Source organism: Homo sapiens, chromosome 10, assembly GCF_000001405.40.
Source record: "Homo sapiens chromosome 10, GRCh38.p14 Primary Assembly".
NCBI classification, from domain to species: Eukaryota; Metazoa; Chordata; class Mammalia; order Primates; family Hominidae; genus Homo; species Homo sapiens.
In genome coordinates, this window is record NC_000010.11 from 89,350,451 (window position 1) to 89,371,192 (window position 20,742).

Sequence of the window (20,742 nt, forward strand, 5' to 3'; positions counted from 1 at the left end):
GCATGCCACCAGGTCCAGCTCATTTTTTGTATTTTTAGTAGAGAAGGGGTTTCACCATGTTGCCCAGGATGGTCTCGAACTCCAGACCTCGTGATCCGCCCACCTCAGCCTCCCAAATTGCTGGGATTATAGGTGTGAGCCACCGTGCCTGGCCTGAAGTTACCTTTTAAGCATTTCTTGCAGGGGGTTGGGGGGAGATCTGTGCAGGGGGAAGGATACTACAGAAGAGAGAAACAAAGGCAGTTATTCAATTGAGACATGCATTACATCATTTCTTACTTTTTAAGGAAAAGCATGTTTTGCGACTTGAGTTTATCTGTCTAGTGAACTTGCAGTTGCATAGCTAGGGAAACAGAGTCTTCACAATGCCTGGGAAGGGAGGAGAGATAAGGCTTACTAGCCACAGAAAAACAGGCAGTTAATTTTTTAAAGGACTCCAGTTCTTTCTCTTTCTCAGGGGGAGTTGGGTTTTCTTACATACAACTGAGTTTTTGCTTACACACTCTTTCATTTCTTTTAATTTCTGTTTCAGTAGGGCCCCAGCCTATGAACCTAAGACGGGAAGAGGAAATAATGTTTGCTGAGCCAGGCGCAGTGGCTCACGCCTGTAATCCCAGAACTTTGGGAGGCTGAAGTGGGCGGATCACTTGAGCCCAGGAGTTTGAGATCAGCCTGGGCAGCATGACAAAACCATGTCTCTATAAAAAATACAAAAATTAGCGAGGTGTGGTGGCACATGCCTGTAGTCCCAGCTACTCAGGAGGCTGAGGTAGGAAGACGGCTTGAGCCCAGGAGGTTGAGGCTACAGTCAGCTGTAATCATGCCACTGCACTCCAGCCTGGGCAACAGAGCAGAAACCCTGTCTCAATAAAAATCTTTAATGCACAGAATGGTTTTTTTCCTCTCCTACAATCATAAATATGTAATCAGCAACTGGATTTCAGATGGCCTAATCAGAGAAAAATCCAAATAGTCCAGAAAAGCCCAAAAAGTATCCATGACGATTTTATAAATTAGGGCTCCACAGAGCAGTGATTTGCAAGGATCCCAGAATCTGAGTTCTGTCCACAGAGCCTATGTCTGCTTTCAGTTCAGCACAACACAAACTAAGGCTGAAACCACCTAACAACAGGCAGCCACAGGTTTCAGTTTAGAGTCAGAACAGGCAATTAGAATATGTGAATTCTGGATTTCAAAGGAGACAGCTTCTTTTCTTCCTGCAGCAACAAAACCAAGATACTTTAGAGTCAGAGAGCCATGGTCCAAGTCCAAGGGACAAGAAATGCTTTCCCAGGCCCTTTTTATTTTGTCAGGCTTAGAGTCTTAATTGACCCACTCAAAAAATACGCGCATCACCCTGGAACATCATCAGCCTTAAAGATTCAGACATCTGACATCACAAGGGCTCTCTAGCAACTAAAAATTGATTTTTCAAACTCAGTGTGTCTCCATCTGGAGACAACGTCTGAGAAATAAAAATAAAATCCTAAGCCCCACAAGCAACTGAACATAATATACCCCCTCTTGGCCACGGGGACCCCAGGGAAACCTTAAAAACTGAGTGCCCGGCCACGATGGAATGTAAAGTCAGACACACCCCTTCCTTATTAATCTTTAACCAGAATTCTTTCCTAAGGAGTAAGCAGAAACCAGCTCTGGAAAACAAGAAATAGAGGACACATTCCTTTATTGCCTTTAGCCAATCATCTGAAGCCACTGCTCGACTCCCCCTCCCTCTTTGCAGTTTCAATGTGACAGCTCGCCAGTTTCACAAGGCAACCCTTTCTAAAAATTGACCTCTATCTCCAGTCCAGTTTTGGCCCAATCACAGAGGAAGGGCAGTGCGGGTTTTCATGTCCTCTACCTCACCTTTTGACACAAGAAGGCCAAAAACTCCACCCATGGATCACGCTAACACCACCATTTTTTGTACATATGATTCATGGAAAGGCACGAGGCTCAATTGCACATGTGCATATTTTCCCTTTCATGAATATTCATGACTCCTCCTATAGCTTATCGAATATGTGTATTTGGACACCTCATTCAGCAACAATTTTTGTCTTAGTCTTCCCTCCCACAAAGTGCCTGTGGCTTCTGGTTGGAGGCTATGCTTTCCAGCCTGTCAGAATGGCTAGCTTTGTAACTGCCCAAGGGTTTTTTCCTGCCCACTGCACAAAGACCATGCCATTGTGGTACAGAAAATTTTAATAGACACATGGAAGGAAAATAAATCTTGGGACCCCCAAGTCACTAAGCCAAAGGGAAAAGTCAAGCTGGGAACTGCATCAGGCAAACCTGCTCCCATTTTATTCCTAAATGAGATAACTACAAAGATAAAAAAAAAAAAAAAAAAAAAGCTACATACTTCCTTCACAATTTGTCCATAAGGAAATTCCTTGTGGGCCTCAATATCTTTACCCTAAAAACAGTTCTGTTGAATTTTACCCTAGCAACATAAACTGATAGCTTGTCTTCACCAGTACAGGACAGAAAGTCATAACTCTACTCGCCTGAGACAAATGCCTATCTGGTTGCTTCCTCTGCCCTATCGTTCATGTAAAACTGCCGATTCACTGAGACAGACTAAGGCATAAATTGTTAGAGTAGGTAGTTAGACATGAACAGGGCAGGAGAGGGCCTCCTCTCCTACCAGGCAACCATCAGGTGATGGTCAGGCAGTTGTTAAACCGTCCCTAAAATGATAATTGGTTGAAGCCAATGCCAGGGAAGGGCCATCTCCCAATAGAAATACCTGAAATTGGTAATCAGCACCTTCCAAGTAAGATCTCAGGAGTTGGACAAGTGGGCTCAAGCATGTGCACTAAGAGGCAAAATGGCAGAGTTTAACTGGTATATGAACTTCTTCTAGAACACTTGACTGGTAGGGAAACAATGCCTCAAGTGAGCATGTGCACAATTTCAGTAAACACACTGAGCATGCAGCCCCAGCCCCTCCCAAGTGCTGGCAGATCCCTGCACATGTAGACAGCCCAACCCAAGGGAAGAAACAGGGGAGAAATAACGAAAGACCCCAGAAGCATGCCAACTTGCAAACCCCAAGTCAAAGGTTAAATGAAATAACAAAAGACCCCAGAATTTCCTTGTGGGCAAATTGTGAAGGAAGTAACGAAAGACCCCAGAAGCATGCCAACTTGCAAACCCCAAGTCAAAGGTTAAACCATGCACTTGAATCTCTTAAGTTACCCACTTGGCCCTCTTTCAAGGTCAAGAATATAAAGCACACTGGGAGGCCGAGCCTGGCAGATCACGAGGTCAGAAGATCGAGACCATCCTGGCTAACATGGTGAAAACCCGTCTCTACTAAAAATACAAAAAAATTAGCTGGGTGTGGCAGCGTGCACCTGTAGTCCCAGCTGCTGGGGAGGCTGAGGCAGGAGAATGTTGTGAACCAGGGAGGCAGAGCTTGCAGTGAGCCGAGATCACGCCACTGCACTCTAGCCTGGGTGACAGAATGAGACTCCGTCTCAAAAAAAAAAAAGAATATAAAGTGCATTCAAGTACTTCACTTCCCCTTATTCCTGCTCTAAAACTTTTTAATAAACTTTCTCTCCTGCTCTGAAACTTGCCTCAATCTCTCTCTTTGCCTTTTCCCCTCAGTCGATTTCTTTCTTCTAAGGAGGCAAGAATTAAGGTTGCTGCAGAACTGTATGGATTTGCTGCTGCTAACCAAATGACTATTCCTCTACCCCACCACCATATATAAATTGTGTATTCAGTGAAAGGCTGATCAAAGATCCAAAAGAATGCAACCTTTTGTCTCTTATCCGCCTATCACCTGGAAGCTCCCACTTTGAGTTGTGCCACCTTTCTGAACCAAATCAACGTACATCTTACATGTACTGATTGATGTCTCCTGTCTTCCTAAAATGTATAAAACCAAGCTGTGCCCTACCTTGGGCACATGTCCTCAGGATCTCCTAAGGGCAATGTCATGGGCCATTGGTCACTCATATTTGGCTCAGAATAAATCTCTTCAAATATTTTAGAGTTTGACTCTTTTCATTGACAGACACAAGACTAGTCATGCCATGTAGGAGATGGAGTTCGTATTCAAGTCGTTCTCCTTCAAAGCTCATAAGTTAGAAGTTTTGTTCTTGTTTTTGTTTTTTCTGAGACAGAGGCTGACTGTGTCGCCCAAGTTGGAGTGCAGTGGTGCAATCTCGGCTCAATGCAACCTCTGCCTCTCAGGTTCAAGCAATTCTACTGCTTCAGCCTCCCGAGTAGCTGGAATTACAGGCACCCACCACCACGCCCTGCTAATTTTTGTATTTTTAGTAGACATGGGGTTTCACCGTCTTGGCCAGGCTGGTCTTGAACTCCTGACCTTGTGATCCACCTGCCTCGGCCTCCCAAAGTGCTGGGATTACAGGTGTGCACCACCATGCCCGGTGTATGTTAGAAGGTTTTCAAAGTGTGGAGGTGGCTAGGCTTGCTGCTGACTGGTTGGGCAAAGACAAAATCATAGACAGTTGAAGCTGTCCTCCTGCATGCTGAATTGCTTCTGGATGGGGCCACAGGAGGAGGATTGGTGGATTCAGGTGGGTCCAGGTGGAGCCATGGGTATCAGACATGCAAAAAACCTGAAAAGATGTGTCAAAAGGCCAATTTTAGGGTCCTACAATAGTGTTGTTATTTGCAGGAGTAATTGGGGAAGTTGTGAATTGTTTAACCTCAGGAATAACGGCTATCAAACTTTTATGTCTGCCCCCTAGTAGGATTCAGTCTCCGCTCCTCCCCACAGCCTAAGGGACTCTCATTAGCTTTACAAAAGTGGTTGAGTTTGGGGGACAGCCTATTACCATTTAAACTATAATCTAATGTCTTCCAAAGTTAGCTCAACCCAATAGCCCAGAAATAATTATGGGAAAGGCAAGATGGGGGTTGGTGAGTTAGCTCAGATCTCATTCCCTGTCATAATTTTCTCACTGATACAATTTTTGCAAAGATGGTTTCAGCCTGAAGGCTGCAATCCCCTTATGAGAAATAAAGCTCTCCTTTCAAAATTTATGAAGTTTGTTATTCTTCAGTTGAAATTATAAAGGATACAACTATTAGAGACATTTGAACCAGAGAAACTCCATCTTGAATAGGGGCTGGGTGAAATAAGGCTGAGACCTACTGGGCTGCACTCCCAAGAGCTTAGGCATTCTTAGTCATAGGATGACATAGGAGGTCAGGACAAGATACAGGTCAAAAAGGCCCAGCTGATGAAACAGGATGCGGTAAAGAAGCCAGCCAAAACCAAGATGGTGATGAAAATGACCTCTGGTCATCCTCACTGCTCATTATATGCTAATTATAATGCTAAATTTAGCATTATAATTTAGCATTAGCATGCTAAAAGACACTCCCATCAGCGCCATGGCATTTTGCCATGGCAACATTCAGAAGTTAACCTATATGGTCTAAAAGTGGGAGGAATCCTCAATTCTGTGAATTGCTTGCCTTTTTCCCAGAATACTCATGAATAATCCATCCCCTGTGTAGCATATAATCAAGAAATAACTTTAAGTATACACAGTTGAAAAGCCCATGCTGCTGCTCTGCCTATGGAGTAGGCTTTCTTTTATTCCTTTACTTTCTTAATAAACTTGCTTTCACTTTACTCTGTGGACTTGCCCTGATTTCTTTCTTGTGTGAGCTCCAAGAACCCCCTTTTTGAGTCTGTATTGGGACCCCTTTCCTGTAACACAACTAAGGAACAACCAAATGGAAGAGTTGCATAGGGCAAGGTATGGGGTGAGTAGGGGGAGGAAGGGTGGGCATGGAGCTTCCATGTTTTTGCTTGGGATGCTACTCTTCCAGCACCTCAATGTGTTCACCAACTCAAAACCTCTCAGAACCCCATCCTTTAAAGCAGGTGTCCCCAATCCCTGGGCTACAGACTGGTAGTAGTCCGAGGCCTGTTAGGAACTGGGCTATACAGCAGGAGGTGAGCAGCAGGCGAGCAATCAAAGCTTCCTCTGTATTAACAGCCATTCCCCATCACTCACATTACTGTCTGAGTTCCGCCTCCTGTCAGATCAACAGAGGCATTAGATTCTCAAAAGAGCACGAACCCTATTGTGAACTCTGCATCCGATGAACCTAGGTTGCGCATTCCTTATGAGAATCTAATGCCTGCTGATCTGCCACTGTCTCCCATCACCCCCAGATGGGACCGTCTAGTTGCAGGAAAACAAGCTCAGGGCTCCCACTGATTCTACATTATAGTGAGTTGTATAATTATTTCGTTTATATTACAATGTAATAATAATAGAAATAAAGTGCACAATAAATGTAATGTGCTTGAATCATCCTGAAACCATCCCTGCCCAGTCTGTGGAAAAACTGACTTCCACAAAACCAGTCCCTGGTGCCAAAAAGGTTGGGGATTGCTGCTTGAGGGGTTTTTATGGAGGTTCACAATATATAGGTAAGATTTTGATGACTGATTGAATCATTGGCCACTGGTGACTGAACTCACTTTCTAGCTCTTCTTCCCTCCCCAGAGGTTGGGGGATGGGGCTGAAAGTTCCAACCCTCTAATCATGCCTTGGTCTTTTTGGCAACCAGCCCACATAATGAACTATCTAGGGGCCCCCAGTAGTGTGACTTCATTAACATAAACTCAGGCATGGTTGAAAGGGGTCTGTTATGAATAAGAAAACATGCTTCCTATCACTGTTGGAAATTCCAAGGAATTTAGAAGCTCTGTGACAGGAACCAGGGACAAAGGCTAAGGAGATATTTCGTATTATACCATAGCAGTGCTATTTACATGGGAAACAAGATCACCAGGAAATCCTCCCTGAATCTAAACCCCTCACTTGCCTAAGAAGCACCAAAGGACACAGGACAAACCTGAGGAGCCTCTCAGCTGGAACCAAGCACTATGTAGCAACTGTGTCTCTCAAGAAACTATGAGGTCAACCTCTTGGTGCTCCTGGACTTTTGTTTCTAGCATATTTTTAAATTCCTGTATTTTTCTAGAATGCAAATTTCCCTGCAGACTCCTCCTAAGAAAGGCAAACTTTCTAACTCTTCTATTATGCTTTCTTACTAAGTTAACAGACACAGACCCAGAAAGAAAATAAAGTTGTGTTAACAGTAAAAGTCATTGCATTTGTGTCATAATTCTAACCGAATGAAAACATCACAAGCGATGTTCATAGAATTGCAAACCAGACAAAACTGACCTGAGGTTTGAGAGGAGCTGAATGAGACAGGATGATGGGAGGAGTGAGTTTTAATCTATTCAGGCTAAGATGGATCACTCAAAGGTAGGTAGTAAAATAAAAGAATTTTAAAGGTAGCTATGTTCAATTTTTATTTGAAAGCATCAATGCTTGGGGTTTTGTTGTGATGATAACCATTAAAATAAGATTTATCTTTTCAACAGATGTTAGGAAATATAAAACCTAACCAAAATTAAGGTATATCTTATTCAAAAGGTACACATTCCTCTTTTCCTGTTTGGTTTTGTGCTGGTAAGTTGCAGAAAGTATTTTCTTCTCAACATTATACTGACTGACTTGCTAGAATCTTTTCATCTGATATAGTGTCAGGAGAAGGATAACTGAGAAAAAAAAAGAGGACCCTATTCTCAGATGCATCTTCCACCATTTAAATACCTGTAACTGCCTGCTGCGAAGAGGTCTGCAGGAAGGACAGAGACCACTTTCTATTAGTTCCTCCATGTGGTGAGAAGATAATCTGGCCGCCTGAGCCACAGTCCCAGGAAGGCCATTAAATGCCCTGCAGAATCAAAACCACAGTGAGATAGCATCTCATCCTGGTTAGAATGGCTACTATCAAAAAAACAAAAATAATGAATGCTGATGAGGATGCAGAGAATGGGGAACCTTATATACTGTTGGTGGGAATGTAAATTAGTACAGCCACTATGGAAAACAGTATGACGTTTCCCCCCAAAACTGAAAATGGATTTATTATGTGATCCACTGCTGGATATATATTTTTAAAAATTGACATCAAGTTATCAAAGCGATATCTGTATTCTCATGTTCATTGGAGCACCATTCACAATAGCCAAGATATAAAAACAAACTAAGTGTCCATCAGTGGATGAATAAAGAAAATGTAGCTTATAGACACAGTGGAATATTATTCAACTATAAAAAAGAATGAAATCCTGTCATTTGCAACAACATGGATAGAACTGGAGGTCATTATGTTAAGTGAAATAAGCTAGGCACAGAAAGACAAATATTGCACATTCTCAATCATATGCGGGAACTAAGAACAAAGTGGATCTCATGGACATAGAGAGTGGAATGTTGGTTACCAAAGGCTGGGAAGGGTAGAGGGGAGGGAAGATAAAGAGGGGTTTGTTAATGGGCACAAAAATGTCATTAAATAGAAGGAATAATTTCTAGTGTTCGATAGTACAGTAGGGTGGCTATAAGTTATTGCATATTTCAAAATAGCTAGAAGAATTGGAATGCTCTCAACACAAAGAAAAAATAAATTATTGAGATGATGGACATCCCAATTACCCTGATTTGATGATTACACACTGTATAAATGTATCAAAATATCAGTTCTTTCAGTGAATGGAGCAAAGGAGGATGCCCATCAGCCAGCAGGTGTCAGGGGTTTTCTCAGGTGAGCTGCCCTTTTGTCCATTTTTGGCACTGCTGGAGAGGAGCAGCCCAACCCGTCCGTGATCTTGGGCCTCTGAGAATAGAGGAAGCTTGATGTGGGCCTCAGTCCAACTTAATCTGGAAAGTCTGCCTAAGGCATATTTTAGAGAGGGAGGACACATTTTGGGGCACATATGTTTTATATTGTTGCACCCCAAAATATATATAACTATTATGTCTCAATAAAATAAATAAATTGATGAATTAGTTAATTAAAAATAAAAATAAATGCCCTGTAGGGCAGTATTTGAGGAATAGGATATTGGTGAGAGAGATTCACTACTAAGAGGTTCCTATTTTTGTTAACTGCATTCCTGGTCACGAAATCATGTTAATCCTAGTGCTACACATGGGGTTGACCAGGAAACCAGGTTGACCTGCCCAGGGCCTTAGCAGCCAGCCTGCCCAAGAGGCTTTTCAGCAAAATGCTCAGGTGTGTCCAGAGCCCTCTGACCTGAAGGGCCTCAAGGAGAACCTCTAGATTATGCTGGACTGAAGCCCTCATCAAGCTGCTCCTATTCGCAGAGGCTCAAGACCATGGCAAGGTGGGGTGCTCCTCCCAGAAATGCCAAAATTTGACAAAAGGGGAGCTCACATAGGAAAACACGTGTCACCTAATGGTTGATGGGCGTCTTCCTCTCACCCATCCACTGAAGGCCTGGATCTCCCTCTCTATCTATCTCTCTCTCTCTCTCTCACACACACACACACACACACACACACAAACACACACACACACAATGATAATGCCAACCCTAATGCTAATGCCTAAGTTCTATGTTCTGCTTGGTAATTAGCTCACTCTGCCTTGATCTCTTATTGCGTTACCTCAGCATTCTCACTATAGTTCTATAACTAGGAATGATTATAACTCTTACTGGGTCATTTTGCAAATGAAGAATTTGGAAATTGAAGTTAATTACTTAAACTCACACATGTACTAAGTGGGGCAGAATTGGGTTGTTAACCAGGTTCCCTGACTCTCTGCTTCCTAATCATAAAACATATGAGAATGAACTATCTTACTGCCCTTTATTTGCTCAGTTTTTAAAGAAATAGGAACCTGGAGGATTTTAAGTGCCTAGCATCTATTTAGAGAGTAACAACTACTGTTTAATAACATTTCACCCCAGAATGTGCCTGTGGCTCACAATCTAGAGAGGAAAAGATGGCCCATGTTGGGGAGGACACACCCATAATCAACACAAAAGAAAAACCTCTCCTGCTTGTTGCCAAGGCAGCCAAGCATTATTGTTCAGATTATTCATTAGCCAAAGGGGTAAGGGAAGAGAATGAAACCCAGTCTACATTTGGCTCACCAAGATAAGTGTCCTGGCAAGGGACACATATACTCACAGAAAAGGGCACTCTTTTCTAATTTACACAAGCACCATAGAGACTAGAAGTGGTACATGTGAGGCTAAGAGTGATGGTTTAAAAAGAATTGGATTTTTACTAGAGATGGGTTTTCTCCATGTTGGTCAGGCTGGTCTCGAACTCCCAACCTCAGGTGATCCACCCGCCTCGGCCTCCCAAGGCATGAGCCAGGCATGAGCCACTGCACCTGGCTCGTTCCCCATCAAACATGGGGATTCCCTAAGATCACAGCAGTCAATCTCAATGATCTTTCCTGCTTCAATGTTTTCTCTGTGTATTAATTTCCTAGGGCTGCCATAACATAGTACCACAAATTGGGTGGCTTAAAACCACAGAAATTTGTTCTCTCTCAGTTTTGGAGCCCAAGAGCCTAAAATCAAGGTATCAGCAGAGCCATGCGCCCTTTGAAACTCCCCGCAGCATCCTTCCTTGCCTCCTCTTAGGTGCCATGCTCTCTCTTCACATGGCATCCTTCCTTGTGTTTTTATATCTTCCCTCCGTGTGTGCCTGACTCTGTCTCATTTCCTCTCCTTATGAGGACATCAGTCACATTGGGTTAGCGTCCTCCCAATGTGCTCATCTTTGATTATATCTGCAAAGACCCTATTTCTAAATAAGGTCACATTTACAGGTACTGGGAGCTAGGACTTCAGAGCATCTTTTTGGTGGACACAATTCAACCCTCCAATATGTCATAGATAGGACTGGGCATAAAGGAGTAGTTGGCTCAAAAGCTGCTCCTAACCAATTCTCTTTTGGCATGTTGATGACTCTAAGAAATAATTCTTTGTAAGAAAAAGGAGAAGACCATGCCTGACACTGAGTTTATTCAGAAAAGTCACTTTGCCCACCGTCTTGTTTTAGGGGGAAGAATAAAACTAGAAATGTTTATTTCACTATTTCTGCCTTGGGGAAAGAAGCAGTTGTTTTCAAATCTTAATGGACCAAGTTGGAAACCTAGAGAAAGGTGAGAAAGAGCTTCTCCTTGCCCCAGGTTCATTTCTCCTGACAGCATTATTGCTTTTTTGATGCATGTCATCTGCTATGGCATCCTGAGAAACGAAAGTGTCATATAGCATTGAGGAGTTCAAAACCTATCTAACTGCATTAGTTTTCCAACTAATCTAAGTCACTGGCAGATTTAATCCCTTTCAGCCAGTATTCAAGCAGACAAAATGCATTTGCTGATATCATGATGTTGATAATTTTTAACTAAGGCTTCACAGCCTAGTATGGTTCCTCCTTAGGATATTGCAGGGACAGCACCAAACACTTGGCAATATGGAATGACGTTGACAATGTTAAGCTTTACCTAAGCCTTATGCTCCTGGAAAACAGCTATGGGGAAAAAAAAATCCACCCCCCACCCTCCACCTGCCTTTTTTTTTTTTTTTTTTTTTTTTTTTTTTTTTTTTTGAGACAGGATCTCATTGTGTGTGTCACCCTGGCTGGAGGGCAGTGGTATGATCACAGCTCACTGCAGCCTCAACCTCCTGGGCTCAAGCAATCCTCCTACCTCAGCCTCCCTGAGTAGCTGGGACTACAGGTGTGTGCCACCATGCCCAGATAAATTTTTTTTGCATTTTTTGTAGAGCTAGAGTTTTGCCATGTTGCCCAGGCAGATCTTGAACTCCTAAGCTTAAGCTATCTGCCCACCTTGGCCTCCCAAAGTACTAGGATTGCAGGTGTGAGCCACTGTGCCCAACTATTTAACAATGTTTCTACCTATCTTTTCATTAGATAGCATTCCATTTCCATCAGAAAATCACGCAAATACTTCCTGTTTATTTTCACAGTAAAAATGCTGATTATCATGGAGTCAAAGATAGGCTTGAGCAGTTGAGATGTCACTTTACATGGGGGTTGCTAATTGAAGCCCTTGAAATTTCTGATTTAGAAAACAGGGTCTTGGAAGAGATCCAGTTCGTGGACACAAAGTACAGTGTGGGAATGCACAACATACTAGCTTATGTGAAACACTGGAAGGGCCAGAATGAGAAAGCACTAGAGAAAGAAGTTGAATGAGAACACACCAACCAAGCAGACATGAGTGACCAGTATCATCACATGGGCAGGTGACCTGGGGCAACTTTGCCTGGGCTGGGGCAAATTTGCCTGGGCGTATCACCACATAGGCAGACTGGCAGAAGCCCAGACTTACCTGGATAAGGTAGAGAACATTTGCAAGAAGTTTGCAAATGCTTCCCGCTATAGAATGGAGTGTCCTGAGATGAACTGTGAGGAAGGATGGGCCTTGGCGAAGTGTGGAGGAAAGAATTATGAACAGGCCAAGGCCTGCTTTGAAAAGGCTCTAGAGGTGGGCCCTGAAAATCCTGAATTCAGCACTGGGTATGTCATCACTGCCTATTGCCTGGACGGTTTTAACACAACAGACAGTAATGAGACATTTTCTCTGCACCCCCTAAAATGGGCTGTCAGTCTAAATCCAAAAGATGCACACATTAAGGTTATCCTTGCCCTGAAGCTTCAGGATGAAGGACAGGAAGCTGAAGGAGAAAAGCACACTGAAAAAGCTCTAATCAGTATGTCTTCACAGACCTATGTTTTTCTATATGCAGCCCAGTTTTATCAAAGAAGAGGCAATATAGATAAAGCTCTTCTGCTCTTAAAAATGGCCTTGCAGGGAACACCCACTTCTGCCTTCCTGCATCACCAGATAGGGCTTTGCTGCAGGAAACAGACAAAAAAAGCTAAAGGCAGGATAGAGAAACTGTAGACAAAATAATAAGATTAGTTATATCTCATGTTGAATTTGCTGTAGAGCAAAGGCCCACATTTGCAATGGTTTATGTGGACCTAGCCAACAGGTATGCAGAGGGAGGTGAACACCAAAAAGTTGAGGACATTTACCAGAAAGCACTCAGCCTGCATGATATTAATAAAAGCTGTTGCAAGAGATTTATTATCGTTATGGCCCCTTTCAGGAATGTCATGGGAAGTCTGAAGCTAACACAATTGACTAATATTAAAAAGAGCTGGGCTGGGCGCGGTGGCTCTCGCCTGTAATCCCAGCACTTTGGGAGGCCAAGATGGGAGGATCACAAGGTGAGGAGATGGAGATCATCCTGGCTAACACGGTGAAACCCTGTCTCTACTAAAAATACAAAAAATTAGCCAGGTGTGGTGGCAGGCACCTGTTGTCCCAGCTACTCGGGAGGCTGAGGCAGGAGAATGGCGTGAACCCGAGAGGCGGAGCTTGCAGTGAGCTAAGATCATGCCACTGTACTCCAGCCTGGGCAACAGAGCCAGACTCCATCAAAAAAAAAAAAAAAAAAGCGAGGGGGGGCGGGTGTGGCTAAATATAGAAATTCAGTCAAGTGCTAGAGGAAAAAAATTTTAGTGCTTTACTGAATTGGCTAACAGGCAAGTTCATTTGCTTAAATCTGATGAGGAGAGTTTGAATCTCATTGTGCTCCTTCACACATTGAAAGGGGAAAAGAAAGTGAAGCTGTGCTGTCCTATGAGACAGCCTGAGACGGGCTACTGGCCTGAACCCTGTCTTTTGAGATGTTAAATGTTATCATATCTAAATCTAAATATCAGATAAATCTTCCCTGATCGCTGCTTTCAAAAAGGCATGACAGGAAGCAACATAAAACTGTTTGGTGGCACACATCGCATCATCAGCTCAACTCCCACTTTTTGGCTAATGAACACCTATCCACGTGGTTGTGGCAGCAATATCAGCACTTCTCCTTTATCACTGCACCCCTTTGTCACTCTTGATATGTCTTGTGTTAGGTACCTGGCACCTGCCAGACCAATCAGACTTCTGAGAATTTGCAATTGGAATTGACAACTTCCATTTTCAGTCTACTAGGTCAGCTGTTCAAAGGAGATTTATATTCAGGGAGTACAGGAAGTCAACTTTTTCATATGGGCAAAGATGTTGACCCACAAGAAGATCTACAAACAAAGCACATGGGCAGAAAGAGAGAAAAGATTCTTGTGTGCACCACAGTATCTCAGCTCCATTTTCACTTCTTAAGGCCCATCTCTCTCCTATACTTTCAGACTATTGAGATACCTTATAATATAAATTATTATAGCTTTATAACAAATCCAATCCTTTGTTTAAGAAAGTTCTCAGTCCTTGAAAGCGAAATAGTTCTAAAGTATTCATATATATGTATACATATAATATATATGTATATATATAGTATATATATAATTAGTCATTCTGACCTAAGGGAAGTTAAGTTGCATCACAAAAAGAGAAAGTGAAAAAAGTCCCCCTATTTGAGATGCACAAGTAGTGCTAGGTAGTGTGTAATATACTCTTTGCTCTTTCTCTGTATCCAAAAATCTATAGTAAAATTAACCAAGATAACAAATTTGTGAGTAGAGTTTTAAATTGTTGCAACCTCTAAGAAGCTGTGAATTTACATGTCTGTGTGGGAAGCAAGAAAACTAAAACTGTCTGTGCAGAAATAAGAGGCAGAAGAAGCCATAACATCTACCTACAAATAAAAGACACACATCAAGGAAGCATTTAGCCTTCCATGAATTGCACAGAATTGGAGAGTGTTGACAAATTTCACAGATATTTAAGGGCTGGGAAAGGATATGGAGCCCTTCATGTAGCTGACATGGGTGTAGAATTCCTTTCTAATTTTGGTGAGGAGATTTATTAGTTTTATTCAAAAGAACATTACCAGTGCATGGGGTTTCCAAGGAGCTCTCCTGGCCTCTCCTTGAATTCCTTACCTAATACCACTACAGACCTCTGTGTAGGGGCAGATTTGACTTTCCTTCTGGAACACAGCTAAAGATAAAATCTAAAGACAGAGATCTTGTAAATTTGTTTGAGTTCTTTGTAGATTCTGGGTATTAGCCCTTTGTCAGATGAGTACTTGCAAAACTTTTCTCCCATTCTGTAGGTTGCCTGTTCACTCTGATGGTAGTTTCTTTTGCTGTGCAGAAGCTCTTTAGTTTAATTAGATCCCATTTGTCAATTTTGGCTTTTGTTGCCATTGTTTCTGGAGTTTTAGACATGAAATCCTTGCCCATGCGTATGTCCTGAATGGTATTGCCTAGGTTTTCTTCTAGGGTTTTTATGGTTTTAGGTCTAACATTTAAATCTTTAATCCATCTTGAATTAATTTTTGTATAAGGTGTAAGGAAGGGATCCAGTTTCAGCTTTCTACATATGGCTAGCCAGTTTTCCCAGCACCATTTATTAAATAGGGAATCCTTTCCCCATTGCTTGTTTTTGTCAGGTTTGTCAAAGATCAGATGGTTGTAGATGTGTGGTATTATTTCTGAGGGCTCTGTTCTGTTCCATTGGTGTACATCTCTGTTTTGGTAAAAGTACCATGCTGTTTTGGTTACTGTAGCCTTGTAGTATAGTTTGAAGTCAGGTAGCATGAAGCCTCCAGCTTTGTTCTTTTGGCTTAGGATTGTCTTGGCAATGCGGGCTCTTTTTTGGTTCCATATGAACTTTAAAGTAGTTTCTTCCAATTCTGTGAAGAAAGTCATTGGTAGCTTGATGGGGATGGCATTGAATCTATAAATTACCTTGGGCAGTATGGTCATTTTCACGATATTGATTCTTCCTACCCATGAGCATGGAATGTTTTTCCATTTGTTTGTGTCCTCTTTTATTTCGTTGAGCATTGGTTTGTAGTTCTGCTTGAAGAGGTCCTTCACATCCCTTGTAAGTTGGATTCCTGGGTATTTTATTCTCTTTGAAGCAGTTGTGAATGGGAGTTCACTCATGATTTGGCTCTCTGTCTGTTATTGGTGTATAGGAATGCTTGTGATTTTTGCACATTGATTTTGTATCCTGAGACTTTGCTGAAGTTGCTTATCAGCTTAAGGAGCTTTTGGGCTGAGACCATGGGGTTTTCTAAATATACAATCATGTCATCTGCAAACAGGGACAATTTGACTTCCTCTTTTCCTAATTGAATATCCTTTATTTCTTTCTCCTGCCTGATTGCCCTGGCCAGAACTTTTTACAAATTTATAAGAAAAAATTTTTTCACAAATTTACAAGAAAAAAACAGACACTTCTCAAAAGAAGACATTTATGCAGCCAACAGACACATGAAAAAATGCTCATCATCACTGGCCATCAGAGAAATGCAAATCAAAACCACAGTGAGATACTATCTCACACCAGTTAGAATGGCCATCATTAAAAAGTCAGGAAACAACAGGTGCTGGAGAGGATGTAGAGAAATAGGAACACTTTTACACTGTTGGTGGGACTGTAAACCAGTTCAACCACTGTGGAAGTCAGTGTGGCCATTCCTCAAGGATCTAGAACTAGAAATACCATTTGACCCAGCCATCCCATTACTGGGTATATACCCAAAGGATTATAAATCATGCTGCTATAAAGACACATGCACACGTATGTTTATTGCAGCACTATTCACAATAGCAAAGACTTGGAACCAATCCAAATGTCCATCAATGATAGACTGGATTAAGAAAATGTGGCACATATACACCATGGAATACTATGCAGCCATAAAAAAGGATGAGCTCATGTCCTTCTTAGGGACATGGATGAAGCTGGAAGCCATCATTTTCAGCAAACTATCTCAAGGACAAAAAACCAAACACTGCCTGTTCTCACTCATAGGTGGGAATTGAACAATGAGAACACTTGGACACAGAAAAGGGAACATCACACACCGGGGCCTGTCGTGGGGTGGGGGGAGGGGCAGGGATAGCATTAGGAGATATACCTAATGTAAATGACAAGTTAATTGGTGCAGCACACCAACGTGGCACATGAATACATATGTAACAAACCTGCACGTTGTGCACATGTACCCTAGAACTTAAAGTATAATAATTAAAAAAAAAGACAGAGATCTGCTGATTAGAGATTGTAAAGACAACACTTCTCCAATCAGACAGCTCTTAGCTTCTGGCTTCTAGCTCTGTCCTGCAATTGTTTCTAAACCACTTCTTATTCTTGTAAACAAGATGGCTATAGTTTCCCATTACTGGCTCATCTAGGCCTATAGAAACCAAAGGACATATTGTTCCTTCTTGGTTAAAAGTTACATAGAAAATTTACTAGAAGTTAGATGGCATTATTTACAGGGGTTGGCTAACAGGCAAGTTCATTTGCATAAATCTGATCAGGAGAGTCTGAATCTCTTTGTGCTCCTTCACACCTTCCCCTGGTGCTGGAAACCAAAGCTGGTTTCCCTAGTAACCAGCACCTATTATGTGTGAGAGAACTGTGACTGTGAGTTTTGAGCGTTTGTGTGTGTATTTGGGTAATTACTGCTGACTGAGGTTTTCAGTACAGCATGAACTTCTTTTGTGCCAGAAACAGAAACTATTTTTTTTTTCCAGAGACAGGGCCTCACTCTGTCACCAAAGCTGGACTGCAGTAGCATGATCATAGCTCGATGCAGCCTCGAACTCTTGGGTTCAAGCAATCGTTCCACCCCAGCCTTCCAATTAGCTAGAACTACAGGTGTGCACCACTATGCCTGGCTGATTTTCTTTTTTTAATTTTTTGTAGAGTTAGGTCTCACTATGCCCAGGCTAGTCTCAAACTCCTGGCCTCAAGAAGTCCTCCTGCCTTGGCCTGTCAAAGCTCTGGGAAGAAACTATTAAAGTTCATTTTGAAATGTCATTGATTGACTCTCTTGACATTGGGCTGCATATGAGTGCTTTCTATGGGGCACACGACCTGGAGGAAAGGAGGGAAGAATGAAAATAGTGTGGTGAACTTGTGAATTCATATTCCACTAGCACAGAGCTATTAAGAAATCTTCCCCAGTGATCCTATTGTAAACTCTGGCTACACTTCTATGTATAATCCATATGCACCACACCTCACAAGCCTTTGGCTACATCACATTTGTGTGTTAGGCCTAAATTATGATAGCTTTAGCCCAAACAGATCAGAATACCAGAAAGGGTCCCCAGCTGTCTCAAGCATTCCAAAGAGGACTTCCACAAACATGCTCAGCAGATATTCATCACCTTCTTCCTCTCCAGCCTCTCCACCCACCAACTCTGCTCTCTCTTCTGCTGATGGATTTCATGGGCTTACTGCTCTCTTGGGACCATTGTCTTAAGTGGGTTATAGAAAATATATACATATTTAATATTTGCTTTAAAATATACTTATTGAGCTCTCAATGTATGTAAGATATAAACATGGTGACAAAAAGCAAATTAAAATTAAGATGGTGAGAGAAAAAAGGAATAGCCAGGTCTAACACATCAGGTAAGTTGTCCACTTTTCCTGCTCTGGCCCTGGCTTGGTGCTAGTTATAACTCAGGTTCAAGTTACTAAGGATGGAGAAAAAAATCTGGAGGAGTCCAAAGTAGACAGAGAAAGACATACCCCCAGACCATCACTTTAACTACACACAAACATATAAACTTACACACACAAACTCACACACTCACAAACACAAACACAAAACTCACACACACACACACACACACACACACAAATGGTTAGAAGGCATCCGAATCTGCTCTCCCTGGCTCTGGAACTCTTTGGAGCTGCCAGGTGTCTACCACAGGGATTGGATTATTTATATTCATTAAGCTCAATGTCAATCTTTTTCCATGGGCAGTGCTGATTCCATGGCCTTCTCCACAGTCTACGGCAAAGGAAAAACTCCTTAGAATAACTTGTACACACAACAGAAGCATTCTACTTGTACATTCTTCTTGTACATACAAAAGAAGCATTCACTCCAAGCTCAGGGAAGAGAAACTCAGTCTCCTGCCTTTCTGGGGCCCCAGAATGTCTCTTAAGTGCCCTTCCAACTAGTGCTTGGTAAATGAGACACTGGGCTGAGGAAACCACTGACCACAGGCCACGTCTTCCCTCTGCAAGCTTCTAGATTCAGTTGCCAGGATGGGCTCCTGGACTGTGCCTATTCTACTGGACACTGATTAAAAGTCATCTCTGTGCCCTTTCATTTCAGGCAGCTGGGGAGGGGATGGCAGTGAGCAGCCAAGAAGCGGTCTCTCTCCACCCTGGGAACCAAGCCATTGAGCTAAGTTCTGAAAACCGGTATGTTGGAGTTATCTTTATCAAGAAACTTCAAAAAGTTCATGAAATAGCTGAAGGAGGAAGATTAATGAAGAGAGTCATAAAAGAATATTCTATGGACAACAGATAATGCTTTTTAATGAGTTTTTCCTAAATAGAAGTGTTTCCTATATAGAGGTATTTGCGCCCTCTACTGCCTTCAGCTGCTACTTCTCAGCAAATTATCCCCTGAATATAAAGTCTTAGATACTAGCACACAGATCTTTTGAGTTTTTTAAAAAGGAGATTCATCAGTATATATGGATGGAAGGAAAGGCAGAGAGAATGGCATTCCTAGTCTCCTCTGGAGCAGGAATGCATACTATATTCCCCACATACAGCCAAAGGTCACTGTGCCCAGAAAATGTAGGAAGTTTCTTAATGAACTATATTAAAGCTATAAAAGCTGCAGCTCAAGAAACTGCTATGTGCTACCGAAGGCAAGTGCTGCTTCCATCAGGTGTGTGGGGGAACCCCCAGCATCTGACACTGCAGGCTTTTATGTAGAGCTGGGTGGTCTGATATGAAGCCACTATGCAGCTATTTCAATTTATATTTAAATTAATTAAAATAAAATCTAAAACTCAGTTCTTCAGATGCACTAGTTACACTTGCAGTGCTCAATAGTAATATATAGCTAGCGGTGGCACAGATTTAGAATGTTTTCTTTTTTTGTTTGTTTTGTTTTTTTTTTTCTGAGACAGGATCTGTCTCTGTTGCCCAGGCTGGAGTGCTGCAACACAGTCATGGCTTACTGCAGCCTCAAACACCTGGGCTCAAGCAATCCTGCCGCCTCAGCCTTCCAACTAACTAGGACTACAGGCTCACACCACCACATCGGGCTAAGTTTTTTTTTTAATTTTATTTTTTGTAGAGACAGGGTCTCTCCATGTTGCCCAGGCTGGTCTCAAACTCCCAGACTCAAGTGATCTTCCCAATTGGCCTTGGAAAGTGCTGGGATTACAGGTGTGAGCCACCCAACCCACCCTAGAACATTTTTAACATTGCAGAAAGTCCTTTTGGAACTAATGTAGGGTTTTTCAGTCTAAGCACTATTGCCATTTGGGGCCAGATAACTCTTTGCTGTGAGGGGTTGTTCTGTACATTATAGGATGTTTAGCATCAGCAATGACCTCTGGATGTCAGTAGCACCCACATCTCCAGATGTGATCATCCAAAGTGTCTCCAGGGGCCAAGTGTGGTGGCTCATGCCTGTAATCCAGCACTTTGGGAGGCTGAGGCAGGCAGGTCACCTGAGGTCAGGAGTTCAAGACTAGCCTGGCCAACATGGAAAACCCTATCTCTACTGAAAAAGTACAAAAATTAGCTGGGCATGCTGGTGGGCACCTGTACTCCCAGCTACTCGGGAGGCTGAGACAGAAGAATTGCTTGAACCCAGGAGGCAGAGACTGCAGGGAGCCGAGATCGCACCACTGCACTCCAGCCTGGGTGACAGAGTGAGACTCTGTCTCAAAAAAACAAACAAACAAACAAAAAATTTTCTCCAAGTATTGCCAGATGCCCCCAGGGGCAAAATTGCCCCCATTTGAGAACTGTTCATTTAAAGCAGTAATCAGCCCAAGTAGGCACTGGCCAGATCCCACCAAAAGGAGATATCACAGAACTCATACAGACAGCCTGGATAAG

The 20,742-nt window shown here is 42.4% G+C and overlaps 1 protein-coding gene and 1 pseudogene across 8 annotated transcripts in view, besides 2 other annotated features; one reads left to right on the forward strand and one right to left on the reverse strand.

The window, feature by feature from the left end:
- Positions 1–20,742, reverse strand: part of LIPA (lipase A, lysosomal acid type) — a 201,108-nt gene that overhangs the window by 136,879 nt on the left and 43,487 nt on the right. The window lies entirely within an intron of this gene.
- Positions 1,183–1,282: an enhancer, noted in NCBI's record as "active region_3745". NCBI's record gives its function as "activates an Ori minimal core promoter by ATAC-STARR-seq in GM12878 lymphoblastoid cells {active_cell/tissue: GM12878}" and the evidence as "EXISTENCE:reporter gene assay evidence [ECO:0000049][PMID:35858748]".
- Positions 12,147–13,040, forward strand: IFIT6P (interferon induced protein with tetratricopeptide repeats 6, pseudogene; annotated as a pseudogene).
- Positions 17,529–17,628: an enhancer, noted in NCBI's record as "active region_3746". NCBI's record gives its function as "activates an Ori minimal core promoter by ATAC-STARR-seq in GM12878 lymphoblastoid cells {active_cell/tissue: GM12878}" and the evidence as "EXISTENCE:reporter gene assay evidence [ECO:0000049][PMID:35858748]".